Source organism: Homo sapiens, chromosome 13 (genome assembly GCF_000001405.40).
Source record: "Homo sapiens chromosome 13, GRCh38.p14 Primary Assembly".
Taxonomy (NCBI): Eukaryota; Metazoa; Chordata; class Mammalia; order Primates; family Hominidae; genus Homo; species Homo sapiens.
The window spans coordinates 24,781,643-24,796,055 of record NC_000013.11 but is presented as its reverse complement, the minus strand read 5'-3'; the positions used below and the strand labels follow the sequence as shown (position 1 = coordinate 24,796,055).

At 35.3% G+C, this 14,413-nt stretch overlaps 1 protein-coding gene across 16 annotated transcripts in view; it reads right to left on the bottom strand.

Moving 5' to 3' along the window:
- RNF17 (ring finger protein 17) overlaps positions 1–14,413 on the bottom strand; it is a 140,815-nt gene that overhangs the window by 92,526 nt on the left and 33,876 nt on the right. For 15 of the 16 annotated variants that reach the window (XM_011535156.3, XM_011535152.3, XM_011535158.3 and 12 more), the window contains 5 exons: positions 14,112–14,212; positions 7,897–8,068; positions 6,632–6,708; positions 6,284–6,358; positions 2,710–3,014 (listed from right to left, as the gene is read on the bottom strand). In XM_011535156.3, coding sequence (XP_011533458.1) covers positions 2,710–3,014; positions 6,284–6,358; positions 6,632–6,708; positions 7,897–8,068; positions 14,112–14,212 — 730 coding nt within the window. Of the gene's footprint in view, positions 1–1,760; positions 1,847–2,709; positions 3,015–6,283; positions 6,359–6,631; positions 6,709–7,896; positions 8,069–14,111; positions 14,213–14,413 lie in introns of those variants that run through there. The other variant, XM_011535163.2, reaches the window with a different exon arrangement.

The window sequence follows — 14,413 nt, the reverse complement described above, 5'->3', positions numbered from 1 at the left end:
TAAAAGAGTGTCTTATGGCATTGTGAACTCTGGGAATATCGCACGTCGGCCCCAGGAAGTAGTGCAAGCCCTAAATGATTGATAAAACAAATGGATCACTTTCAACAATGAATTCTTTAGTAACCTGAACTGCAAATACTTCATAATACTTGCAAAATACGCTAAATAAATGAAATCATAGTCTATGTGATAGTTAAGATTCTAAAGTCAACGTATATGCTGTAACTCTACTGTATTACAAAAGTTCAGTTTCTTTATGAACATATTTGGAACTCAGAACCCCTACTGATAATGATTAGGTTTCTAGGATAACCTACAAAAGCCAGTTCCATCTATACTCTACCTATAGAACCAATACAGCTCATAGCCACTCTGACTCCCAAGTCTTATAAATCAGGTTAGTCTTATAAATCAGATGTGAAAAAATGTCTAGGCAAAGCCAAAGTACTGAGCAGCATTTAGGGGAATGCGTGTGCTTTTTGGTGGGGTGAGTAGAGGTAAAGACAGTCAGAAAATTTTCTTAAGCCAAGTGTCTTCACTAATATGAAAAGATCTCCAAAGTACAATGTTAAGGAAGGAATGCAAAAACAAAACAGTGGTATGCTACGTTTTGTGTAAAAAAAAAAAAAAAGACACCCCCGCCACACACACATAGAGAGAGAGAGGGAGAGAGAAGTTTGGAAAAATAATTTGTGTGTGTTTATTTATAAATGCATAAAGAAAATGTGGAAGAGATGGAGACACTGAATAGAATGGGAATAGGATGGGGGGAAGTTTCACATAATATTTTAATATATATTTAATTTCTGAATGAGGTAAATGTTTACATGGTAAAATTGTTTAAAAAACAAAGACTAGGAGGAGTGGAAATGAATATAGTCAAGTATAGATAGATGACAGAAACTGAACAAATGGGTCATTTTAACTATCCAATAGAAAATATAAAGAATAATGCCCATATTTAGGGTGGGGTAAAAAGATAAACACATACAACTGGGGTGACATCTGAGAGAAGTATAAATTTTGGAAATATTCCTGGCTGCGCACGATGGCTCACGCCTATAATCCCGGCACTTTGGGAGGCCAAGGAGGGAGGATCGCTTGAGGACAGGAGTTTTGAGATCAGCCTAGCTGACATGGTGAAACCTCATCTCTACTAAAAATACAAAAATTAGCTGAGGATTGTGGCATGTGCCTATAATCCCAGCTACTCCGGAGGCTGAGGCACAAGAATCATTTGAGCCTGAGGAGGTTGCAGTGAGCCAGGATCGCGCCACTGCATTCCAGCCTGGGCAACACAGTAAGACTCTGTCTCAAAAAATATTTTTTTTATTGGGGGGAATATTTCTGCCAGAGTCAAAACACTCATTCATTCATTTATTTGAGATGAGGTCTCACTGTTACCCAGGGTGGAGTGCAGTGGTGGGATCTCAGCTCATTGCTACCTCCGCCTCCCAGGCTCAAGTGATCCTCCCACCTCAGCCTCCTGAATAGCTGAGACCACAGTTGTGCACCACCACACTCACTTATGTTTTTGTACTTTTTGTAGAGACAGGGTTTCACCATGTTGCCCAGGCTGGTTTCGAACTCCTGAGCTCAAATCATCCATGTGCCTCGGCCTCACAAAGTGCTGGGATTACAGGTGTGAGCCATGGTGTCTGGCCCCGGAATTAAAACTTTTAACATTAGAAAGTAATATGTTTTAGTTATCAGTGAAATTCACTTTACTTACTACCTCACACTAGGTAAGAGCTACTTACTACACATACAGTAAACTCCACTACATCAAGCTCAGACAGTTGTTACAGTATCTGCTTTTGATCCAAAAGGAACAGATGAGTTTTTCTGAAGAGGCTTTTTTGGATATCTAGGTGTCTCCCCAAGATCATCTGTGCCGCATGCTTCATCAAAATAAGAAATAAAGACAACTTGTACTAACTATGTTAACAATGACATGCTAGTTTTTAAAAAGCTGTACTGAAATTGGCAAAACACTGGAATGGCAACATCCCTTGTATCAATGAATAAAGTTATTACAGGTATCTTAAGTAATTGAGACATCAATGATAATACAGTGGAAAGAAGTGTGTCCTTTTCTAAAATGCAATTCTGGAGAGTCAACCAATAAAATAGACAACGGGTAGGGGAAAATAAAAGCTGATCTTGAAAAATGGTCTTAAAGGAGACTATTAGTATAAAACTACATAGTGTAGTATCTCACTCCATGTTAATGGAAAGAATACTGACATTGAAAATCTAATCAAATACAACTGTGATACATTTAAATGTCATAAAATAGATAACATTGTAATCATGATAGTTTATATTAAATCTCACAACAAAGATTGAAGAGATGTTCTTAATTCAAAGAAAGTAATAAAACTATGTCCACAAATCACATCTCTCTATTTATATCTTTTATACAAGGCTTATATGTGAGAACACTAAAAAATCTCAAAATACCCTAATTAAACCAGATATTAATTTATACCTCAGAGGTTAGCTATATTACTGCATTAAAAATAAAAATTATCCTAACTCTGGAAAATGTGAGAGTAGGGGCATGGAATGAACAGGTTTTAACTCATAATGAGGAATAAGATTATAACAGCAATTATATTTCTGTTAAATGCATGGACGAAAAAGGTACCAACTGTGTCTAATTACAGATACAAGATCTTTCCCCTCTGCTTTTACATTTTAACTTACTTTCCACGTTGTCTTCAATAATTTCTTCAATTATCACATCAGGGCTAGATCCCATCTGAGGTAACACAGCAATGGTTTTAGGGGATGCTGTTGCAACGTCTTTCTGTGGCTGGAAGTTTTTTGCTTCTAAATGTACATCATTTGTCTCAGGTTGCAAAGGAGGTGGTGGTGCTTCACTGGTTAGGACAGACATGTCAACCTTTTTCTTTTCTAGCGGTGGGTATGTATCGTAACAAGAAAGTTCCTTTTTGTTATTATATTTCTTTTGAACATTCTGTCTAATTTCATTTTCTTGGGGATAACATCTGTTTAAAAATACAGAGATATAAGCTATGAATACAGAGGTATATGGTACAACCATGAATAAGTCACTAGAAACTCCCACCATGGACATTAATCTGAATCTTTTGGGCATGATTATTCAATAGCCACTGACCCACTGCCAGTTATTTATCCATTCTACTCCATATTTTTCTATTTTCTCCACATATCCAGACAGTTTTTAGGCTATCAAATCTACAAGTATAGAAATTTTACAATGAGATAAGATTGGGTTTCATGAAGTTTATATTTTAGTTATTCCATGATGGATTTAGCTTCTTCACAGATCAGTGTTTAAGAAGCCACTGTGGAAATAACGATCAACAAAGCCAACTGGATTTAGCAATGATGCATGTTTATCTGCCTCTTCCAACAGAGGACATACATTTAACTAAGTAAAATTGATATATGTTGAAGTCCAAACAACTGAGAGTCATATATATGTACACGACCTTGCAATCTAAATGTCTCTTTTCATAACAATTCTTATTAGACCTGAGACATGCAACATTATTAATCAGCTCCGGTGTCATAAACCTCTGCTTTGACTTATACAACACCACTTCTGTTCTCCTTCAACTTCTGTCTGCTCCTTCTCAAGTTTTTTTTTTACAGATTACCCTTTCTCTGCTTTAAATTTTAGTATCCTTCCAGGGTATTGTCCTTGACCTGTTTGAATACCTGCTCTTACTGTGCAAACCCATGGTTTAACTACCATTTGTAATCAGTACATGCAGGTTATACTAATACTTTCCCTAAAAACTAGGAAAAAATTTAAAAGGCAGCTCTCAGAGTTAAATTTAAAGTAGAAGATCAGTACAGATGCTTAAAGAGGCAGAATAGTTTTTAGTGTCTTAGAAATGCGGATAGTAACCATATTCAAGTTGTGAAAATGTCAAAAAGAACATATTGATTGCAAAGGTTGTTGATTATCCATGTAAGCATAAAGTCAAGTCACAGCAGTAAATATGGGGCAGGGCTCTCCCAAGCATGGAGAAAGATGACTGAGCCGAAGGACTGGTATTCCACTTCCTCTGGCAAGGTCTTCCCTCTGATGGAGAGGAATCTAATCAGCTATCTTAGCCTAATTCTGTTAACCTATCTGATTAATTTTATTCCCTTTATTCAAAAAAGATTACCAAAAAAGTAACTTCTGACAAGTTAGCTCCTCAGTTCTAGTCCCTGTTCACAATTATATTTATCCATTAAGTTAACAAACTGGCATTTTGACTACACATCAGTTTTGTGACCTTGGTTTATATGAATTTACCTGGCTTAGAGTATACATCATCCTATGTGCTTCTGAAATGGTAATACTGTGAGCCAGACTAATTTGTTCCCTAAGGTAACAAATGCGTTGCTTTTCTCAGGGGACCATTTCCATTGGAGACAATCCACCTACAATGAAAGAACTTATTTCTCTTTTGGTGGTTTCTACATCTATATTCTGATTACTCCTAAACCCAGAATCAAGACCAAGATCTCTTAAGTTTCAGCATTCATATCCAATTAAGCTGTACACATTTCTCTCCAGAAAGCTGGTAAACAGTAAGTACTCAACATACTATCTTCCCCCTCCCAACTTACTTTGCTTCCTGTATTCCTAATCTTGATGAATACCACAATCCATCGACTTAGTCACCAAAGCGTAACAAACCATTGATGATGCTTCCCTTTTCCTCATGCCTCACGTTCAAGCATTACTGAGTTTTATTAATTTTCCCTATTTTGCATTTGTCATATCTATTCTCAGTCCCTATCCAGTGCTATTAGTTAAGTTTTAGTTCTCATGAGTTGCTGAGTCTACTGATATGATGGCCTAAGTGATCCTTCAGCCTTCACTGTCATCCTCTTACGCCAAATAATCCCCCAAATGGCCATCAAAATTATCCCTAAAAAATGTAATCTAATAATTTTTACTTTCATGCTTAAAACCTTTTAGTGGCTTTCTACTCCCTAGAACTATACTGTACAACAGAACTTTTGGTGATAATAGAAATATGCCACATTGTCTAATATAGCAGTGCTTTGGTCTAAATGTTTCAAAATTCATGTTGAAACTTAATTCCCATTGTGGTGACATTAAGAGGTGGGGCCTTTGGGGAAATTAATGATCAAGCAATGAGGGCTCTGCCCTCATGAATGGATTTGTGCCTTACAACAAGTCTGGAGGGAACTAGCTTATGCCCTTTTTTGCTCTTCTGCTCTTCCACCTTGTGAAGATAGTTATTTGTCCCTTTTATGCTCTTCCATGCTTTCTGCCATGTGAGGACACAGCATTCAAAGTGCTATCTTAAAGCAGAGATCAGGGCCCTCACCAGAAACCAAATCTGCCAGCATTATGATCTTGGGCTTCTCAGCCGCCAGAACTGCAAGCAAATAAACACCTGTTCTTTATGAGTTACAGAAGAATAAACAACATCTGTTCTTTTTAAACTTTGTTATAGCAGCACAAATAGAATAAGACAGGTAGTCACTAACGACATGTGGCTACTGAGAACTTGAAATGTGGGCTAATGGAACTGAGGAACTGGATTTTAATTCTATTTAGTTTTAATTAATTTATGTTTAAATTTAAATAGCTACATGTGATTAGTGGCTACTATACTGGACAGCATGGATCATAAGGTTCAAACATCATCAGACAGCATACAAAGTCTTTAAGACTTAGCATCTATGTATCCTTGGGGACATAGAGAATGGAATTATATACACCATTCCCTGAACCTAGCATGCTATTTCACTGCCCATATATTCACTGCCTATAAGATGCATACTTCCTTTTTCTCCTCCTTTCTACTTGCTACTTAATTTTAATAGATAAGGGAAAAGAAAATATCTTTCCAAGTCCTGTTACCCCAGTAAGAACTGATCATTCCCTTGCTTGGCACCTCAAGTAAATTCTGCATACATTACCCTAGCAATTATGCATTTTATTGTTTGCATGTCCTTCTTCCTCTACTTATTGTAATTTCTCGGACATTTATCTCAATATCTAGGGTGTTAGTGCCTAGCAGTGTTCAATGCTTGCTGACTGAATCAATCTCAAAGATAACTTCGACATGTATATTGCTGAATACTGATCCCTTCTAGGCCTTTTAAAAAACATTATATGTAGAATTTAACTATAGAAACTATTTTGCCCTTTATTTTTCAGCTTTTGAATTACACTAAACATCAATTCTTCTGTCTCTTAGATAATGTAAGTACTGTCAGACACTAATGGCATGTTACCATGCTTATAAATACTTACTTTGTTGAGTCCCTAAATTCAATCTTTCCCATATTGTTGAACATACAGATGATCTCACTGCAATTCACACTCAACCTATAATAAAACATTAACATATACATAAATGTTCTAATACAAATGTATCATGTTCTCTAGACAAAAATCAATTGCTGACATTAATGAATTGAAAAGGAAACATTTAAATAACTTTCTAAGTTAGCACAAATTACACTTATCTTAATTTGGTTACTAACTTAGTAAACATTTGTGACCCAAAATTTCAATTTATTATTACTTGCTATTTTAATACATTTAAGTTCCAGCACATCTTTATACTTGTTATGGTCTCCTGAACTATGACTTACTTACCTGGGAGGGTTCCTTAGTTGTGGAGAACTAACTTGTGCTAATTCACTATCTGAAGTTAACTGCAAAGTCCGGATAATCTAGAATTTAAAAAAAAAATCATTCATGTGTGAATCTTGTCACAAATATTGCTGAACAGTAAGATTTTAGAAAGAAAACTGTATCTTTTAGGTATTTCATTAATTATTGCATTCAGGCTCAATTTGGGGCACTCAAAGGGATACAAATAAGTGTTTATGACTTTTGGAGATATGTATAAAAGGTAACAATAGACACTAAGAAATAGGATAGAGCTACATGATCAGAGAAAACTCGATCAGATTCATTTTGCAACTGTGCTGCTATCTTCAAGAGTTTTCTCCCTTTCTGCCCTATTTTCTTAGCTAGATTAACTAGGATAAAGACCAAATTTTATCATTTTTTTCATCACCTAGTGTTGCACGTGTAATACACAGGAAACAACTATTATTGTTTTAGAACTAAAGCCTGGGACACCTAGCCAAGTAGGGTCATGGCAAATTGTCCTTTCATTTAACGTTAGAGACTTTGGAGGCAGGTAAACTAATGGCTTCTCTTCTATACACCTGATTATCCACGGGAAGTGAGATCCTGAAGATTCAAAGATGACTAAAGCAAAACCTATACCCTTAGGGAGTGAGGCAGAAGTCAGCAAAGATCTGTGATTAATCTTGTCCTGTCAAAGTATAAGAAACTTTTGTTTTTTTGCCCAATTCTACCCCTCAGGCACATGATTAGATGATAGGAGATGGCTGAAGCTGTCTCTTGACTTGCACAATTTGGAATGGAATTGGAAGAGAAAAACTTGACTAGGATTTTGAATTAAATTTTAACGTTAAGAGTTGACAGCCACACCTAAATTGTTTATGTGAACAAAATAGAGTCCTATTCAGTTTGCTACCCTTATTTGTCCTCATTTTTTTAATCGGGTGTCCTAGAAACCTAAACTTTCACCTCAATGTCACCTTACTTGCTCTCAGATCAAGTGTTACAAAGACTTAATTGCACCATTTCCCTAACTGGTCAAAAAAAACAAAAGGTCATATAAATTTTACAATGTTTGTCTTAGATTTCATACATTATTTTATTATAACTTAGACTATCCTAACCTATATTGTCATCAATTTAGAATTCTAAATAATAATATAGGTTAGGATAATCTGAAAAACAAATTCTTGTCTTAAATATATTCCAAAGCATGTAAAATAAGCTACCACAGAAATAACTCACATTGTGAACTATTAAATTACCTGATTCAGGTCACAGTATGTTCTTAGAGAAGGCGATAATTGTAATGCTCTTGCTATGTTCATAGCTGCATTCAAATTATTTTTTTTCTCTTCAATGTAGCTTTTAGCCTTTATTAAATTTGATAGATAATCATCAGTAGTTCTTGCAAATTCTTCACACAGGTTCTTTTTCCTTCATTTAAGATTCCAAAGTTATTTTGCAGTATTTCATAAATATTTATAGAAAAAGTCGATCTATAGTATCTTGAAGAGTAAGTTCAGTAGTTGATGAATTTTACATAATATGGTTAAATGAGGCAAACAGTAACTGAACTGTATCTGAAAGGGTACTTTCACTTGTTGATAAAATTAACATATAACATGGTAAATGAGGCATTAAATTGAACTGAAATGTATTATAGTTAAAAGCTATGTATACATAATTAGAGAAAAGCAAATTTTGTGGAAGGCAGGAGATTATAAGTAGAGACATACAATAGACCATCTAAGGCCTGGAGGAGAATCTGAGCTCAGACTCTTTAGGACATTAAGGCATATAAAAGCAGTTATATATACAGGGGAATTGAAAAAGCCACACTGAGGCCCAGGCAAGATGCATGCTCAGAAAACATCTGAGAAGATCTTAAGCCTGACCTCAGGCTGATCTCAAGGCTCAGGGCACACACAACCACTCAGTGAAGGACTGTTACATCAAGAGCCAGTCTGCAAAGACAAGGGAAGGCAGCTATTTTCTCAAATGCCCAATTTCAACAAAAATACCACAAGGCACACCAAGGAACAGAAAAACATGACCCATTCAAAGGAAGAAAACAGAATGGTAAAAACAGTTCTCAAAGAAGCACAGGCGTTGGACTCAATAGGCTTAAAACAACTGTCTTAAATATGCTTAAACAGCTCAAGAAAAATATGGACAAAGAACTAGAGAATAATCAGAAAAATGATCTAGGGGACAAAATGATAATATCAACATAGAGAAATTATATAAAATAACCAAACAGAAATTCCATAGATTGTATTGAAAAATACAGTAATTGTAATTTTAAAAAATCCACCAAAGGTTCTACTGCAGATTTGGACAGGCAGAAGGAAAGAACGAGCCAACTTGAATATAGGACAATTAAAATAATGAAGCCTGAAAAAAATAAAAACAACAATGAAGAGAAGTAAACAGAGTCTAAGGTACTTGTGAGTCACTATCAAGCAGACTAATGTATGCATTATAGGAATCACAGGAGAAGAGAGAGACAAAGAGACAGAAATTATTTGAAGAAATAATGGCAAAAAACCTTCCAAAATTTGATGAGACATGAATCTATAAATCTAAGAGCTCAAGGAACTCCAACTGCTGAAGGACACAGAGAATCCTGAAAGCTGCAAGAAAAATGCAATTTGTCAAGTACAAGGGATCCTCAATAATATTATCTGCAAATTTCTCAGCAGAAACCTTGGAGGCCCGAAGACAATGTATATTTACAGCACCAAAAGAAAAAAAGCTGTCAAAGTATTCTTCAAAAGTGAAGGAGAAATTAAAATATCCCCAGATAAACAAAAGCTGAGGGAGTTCATTACCAGTAGACTTTCCCTATAAGAAATGCTAATGAAAGTGCTTCACGTTAATGTGAAAGAAGGCTATGCAGTAACTCAAAGCCATACAATGATAAAAATATCTCTGGTAAAGGTAAATACATGGGCAAACATAAAAACCAATATTAGTGTAATTTTAATTTATAATTCTACTTTTTATTTTCTACAGAATTTAAAGGACAAATACGTAAAATATCAATCTATCTTAACAGGTATACAATATAGAGGAATGTAATTTGTGACATCGAAAAAATAAAGGGGGGCAGATTTGTAAAGCAGTAGAGGTTTTATATGCAACTAAAGTTAAGCTGTCTACTACTCAAAACAGATTGTTATAACTTCAGGATGTTATATGTAATCCTTATGGGTAACCATAAAAACTATTTACAGACTATGCACAAAAAGAAATGAGAAAGGAATCAAAATTTGTGACTACAAAAGAAAAAAATCAAGTAAACACAAAGAAAGGCAGTAATGGAGGAAATAAGCAACAACAAATAAGCCATAAAACATACAGAAAACAAACCAAATGGCAAAAATACTTCCTTATCAGTATTTTAAGTGTAAATAAATTAAACTCTCTAATCCAAAGGCACAAATCTGAAGAATGGATAAAAAATATGACCCAACTATATGCTGCCACAAAAATTTCACTTTAGGTCTAAAGACATATAGAGGTTGAAAATGAAAGGATGGAAAAAGATAATACATGCCGATAATTTAAAAAGCTGGGGTGGCTCCACAAATTTTAGGCAAAATAGACTTTAATGTAACAATTATAAGCATATATGCACCAATATTAGAACCCCAAAACATATAAAGCAAACATTTGCAGAATTAAAGGGAAAAATAGACATGTCTACAATAATCATTAGAGACTTCAATATCTCCCTTCCAATAATGGATAAAACAACCAGTGTAGAATCAATAAAGCAATAAATTACTTGGACAACACTATAGACTGATTGGACCCAACAGACATATTTAGAACACTATACCCAACAACATGAGGATAAACATTTTTCTCAAGTGTGCATGTAACATTTTGAGACAGAACATATGTTAAGACCATGCTGACTAATGTTTAATGTTCATTAACATTTATTAGTAAGTCTTAATAAACTTAAAGATTGAAATCCTACAAGGTATCTTTTCTGACTACAATGGAATGACCTAGAAATAACAGGAAAAAAACCCCGGAAGATTCATAAACATGTAAAAATAAAACAATATGCTCCTAAATCCCAATGGGTCAAAGAATAAATCACAAGGGAAATTAGGAAATTATCTGGGGCAAATGAAGCAAGAACACAAAATTTATGGGATGCAATGAAAGCAATGCTGAGGGAAATTTATAGCTGTAAATACTCACATTTAAAAAGGAGCTCGCAAATGAACAACCTAACGATATACCATAAGTAACTAGAAAAAGACCAAACTAAACTCAAAGCAGAAGGAAGGAAATAAAGGAGAAGAGAAGAGATAAATACACAACAAAGAAAAATGAAAGCAAAAGTTTGACTTCAAGATTAGAATTAAACCTATAGTCACACTAAGAAAAGAGAATCAGGCCAGGCGTGATGGCTCACACCTGTAATCCCAGCACTTTGGGAGGCCGAGGCAGATGGATCACAAGGTCAGGAGATCGAGACCATCCTGGCTAACACAGTGAAACCCCATCTCTACTAAAAATACAAAAAAAATTAGCTGGGCGGGTGGCAGGTGCCTGTAGTCCCAGCTACTCAGGAGGCTGAGGCAGGAGAATCACTTGAACCCGGGATACAGAGGTTCTGGTGAGCCGAGGTCGCGCCACTGCACTCCAGCCTGGGTGACAGAGCGAGAATCCATCAAAAAAAAGGAAAAAGAATCAAATTACTATAATCAGAAATAAACTGGGTACATTACTATCAATTTTACACAAATAAAAAGGATTAAAAGGCTATTATGAACAACTGTACACAAATTATATAACTAGGTGAAACAGACAAATTTCCAGGAACACATAACCTATCACAACTGACTCATAAAAGTATTAAAAAATCTGTACAGACATGACTAAGGAGATAGAATGAGTAATCAAAAAACCTCCCAACAAAGTTTAGCCTTAGACCAGACAGCTTTACTGGTAAATTGAACCAAACATGTAATAATCAACACCAATCCTCCTCAAACTCTTCCAAAATACTTGAAGGGCAGAAACGTTCCCTAACTCACTCTATGAGGCCAAAACTACCCAAAACCACATAAAGAAAACTGTAGAGCAGTATCATTTATAACTATTGATAGAAAGTCCTCAGACAAACTAGCAAACCAAATTCAACAGCATAGTAAGAGAATTATACACCATGACCAAGTGGGATTTATTCCTGGAAAGCAAGGATAGTTCAACATACAAACATTAACATGTGATTGATGTAACATACCACATTAAAAGAAAAAAGCAAAAAGCCCAAGTGGTTTCTCAATTGATGCAGAAAAAGGACCTGACATAATTCAACACAATTTCATGATAAAACCACTCAAACTAGAAGATGACTACCTCACTATAATAAAGACCCTATATGGAAAAACCCATAGTGAACATGATATTCAATGGTGAAGACTGAAAGCTTTTCTTATAACATTAGGCACAAGACGTACCTGCTTTTGCTACTTCTGTGCAACACAGTAATGAAAGTTCTAGCCAAAGCAATTAGACAAGAAATAAGGTTTTCGAATTGGAAAGGAAGAAGTAAAATCATCTTTTTGTAGGAAGTAAAATATTTTATTTGCAGATGACATGATCATACATGCAGAAAACCCTAAAGATGCCATAAAATAATACTAAAGCTAATAAATGCATTCAGCAAAAAAGTAGGACACAAAAATCAATATAAAAATAAGGTGTGTTTCTACACAGTAACAATGAATAATCCCAAAAGAAAATTAAGGAAATAATCCCTTTTACAATAGCATCAAAAGAAAGAAAATACTTAAGAATAAACAAAGGAGGTGAAAGACTTGTATATGAAATTGCTGAAAGAAATTAAGACACAAATAAATGAGAAGACATCCCATGTGCATAGATTGGAACACTTAATATCATTAATATGTCAATACTGCACAAAGTGATCTACAATTCAATGCAATCCCTAACAAAATCTCAATGACATTGTTTTGTGAAAATTGAAAAGTCCATCTTAAAAGTCCTATGAAATCTTAAGAGACCCTGAGAAACAATCTTGAAAAGGAACAAAGTTGTAGGACTCACACATTCTGATTTTAAAACTTACTACAAAACAACAGTAGTCAAAACAGCATGGTACTAGCATAAGGAAAGACATACAGAACAACGGAATAAAACAGAAATCCCAGAAATAATCCTTCACATATATGGTGAGCTCATTTTTGACAAGGGTGCCAAGAACATTCAGTGGGGGAAAGGACAATCTTTTCAACAAATAGTGCTGGGAAAACTGGATATCCAACTCAAAAGGATGAAGTTGGATCCTTACCTTATGCCATACACAAAAATTAACTAAAGATGGATCAAAGATCTAAATGTGAGAACTATAAAACTCTTAAAAGAAAACACAGGGAAAAGGCATCATGATGTTAGATTTGGCAGTGATATCTTGAATATGACACCAAAAGCACAAGAAACAAAAGAAACAATAAACTGGACTTCATAAAATTAAAAACTTTTGTGGATCAAAGGACATTATCGAGAGAGTGAAAAGACAACTTACAAATGGGAGAAAATATTGTAAGTCATATAGACAAAAATTTCATATTCAAAATATACAAAGAATTGCTATAACCCAATAGCAACAATTGGGCTCAAGCAATCCTCCCACCTCAGCTTCCCATGCAGCTGGGACTACAGAAATGCACACAATGCCTGGTTGATTTTTTTTTGTTTTGTACAGATGGAGTCTCGCTGTGTTGCCCAGACTGGTCTCAAACTCCTGAGCTCAAAGATCCCCCCCCCATCTCAGCCTCCCAAAGTGAGCTTAGACAGGATGATCACCATGTAATCCTACAGGTGTAAGCCACCACACCTGGCTCAAGCTTGTTTACTTTAACAGTTAACAGCTTCAGCTGGGCACCGTTATGTACACCTGTAATCCCAGCACTTTAGGAGGCTGAGGCAGGATGATTTCTTGAGGCCAGGAGTTTGGGAAAAGCATGGACAATGTAGTGAGACCCTTGTCTCGGAAAACAAAACAACAACAACAAAAAAAAAACACAAAATTAGCTGGATGTAGTGGTGTGGGCTTGTAGTTCCAGCTACTTTGAAGGCTGAGGTGGCAGGATCACTTAAGCCCAGGAGTTTGAGGCTGCAGTGAGCTATTATCACACCATTGCACCCCAGCCTGGGCAACAGAGCAAGACCCTGTCTCAAACAAACCACCATTAGCTTCAGCACCAGAAGGTAAATAGGCAAAATTTTTAAAAGCTTACACATTATTTTTCATTTTGCAGTTCTAAAGATCAGTCTGTAGGGACTACCAACTTCCAAACTTGTTTGAAAGTTACCCATTACAAACTTGTTTAAAAGTTACCCATTACCATTCTAAACAAAGGAATACAATGACAAGTTAGTGTTAGAAACTTCAGTTTCATTGAGTCCATATTTTTAAGTTACTAACCTGGAATCAAAAAAAGCCAAAAGTTGGTCAAACTGTTTCTCCACAACTTCTATAACTCTTTCTCTTTCCTCTATCGTTTGCTTCTGCATGTGTTCAAGTGCCTGGAAAAAAAAAAAACAAGACAAAAACTTAATTTGGGAATTTTTATTTTGTAGAAGTTGTAGAATTTTGAAAGTAAAAGGTACTTTCTAGACTCTTCAAAATAACACAAGAGGTAAAGAGATAATAATATAAATAGAATAAGTCACAAGGTTCAACATTAAGTTTTACTATTTGTGAGCAAGACCATATCTTTTTGTTTG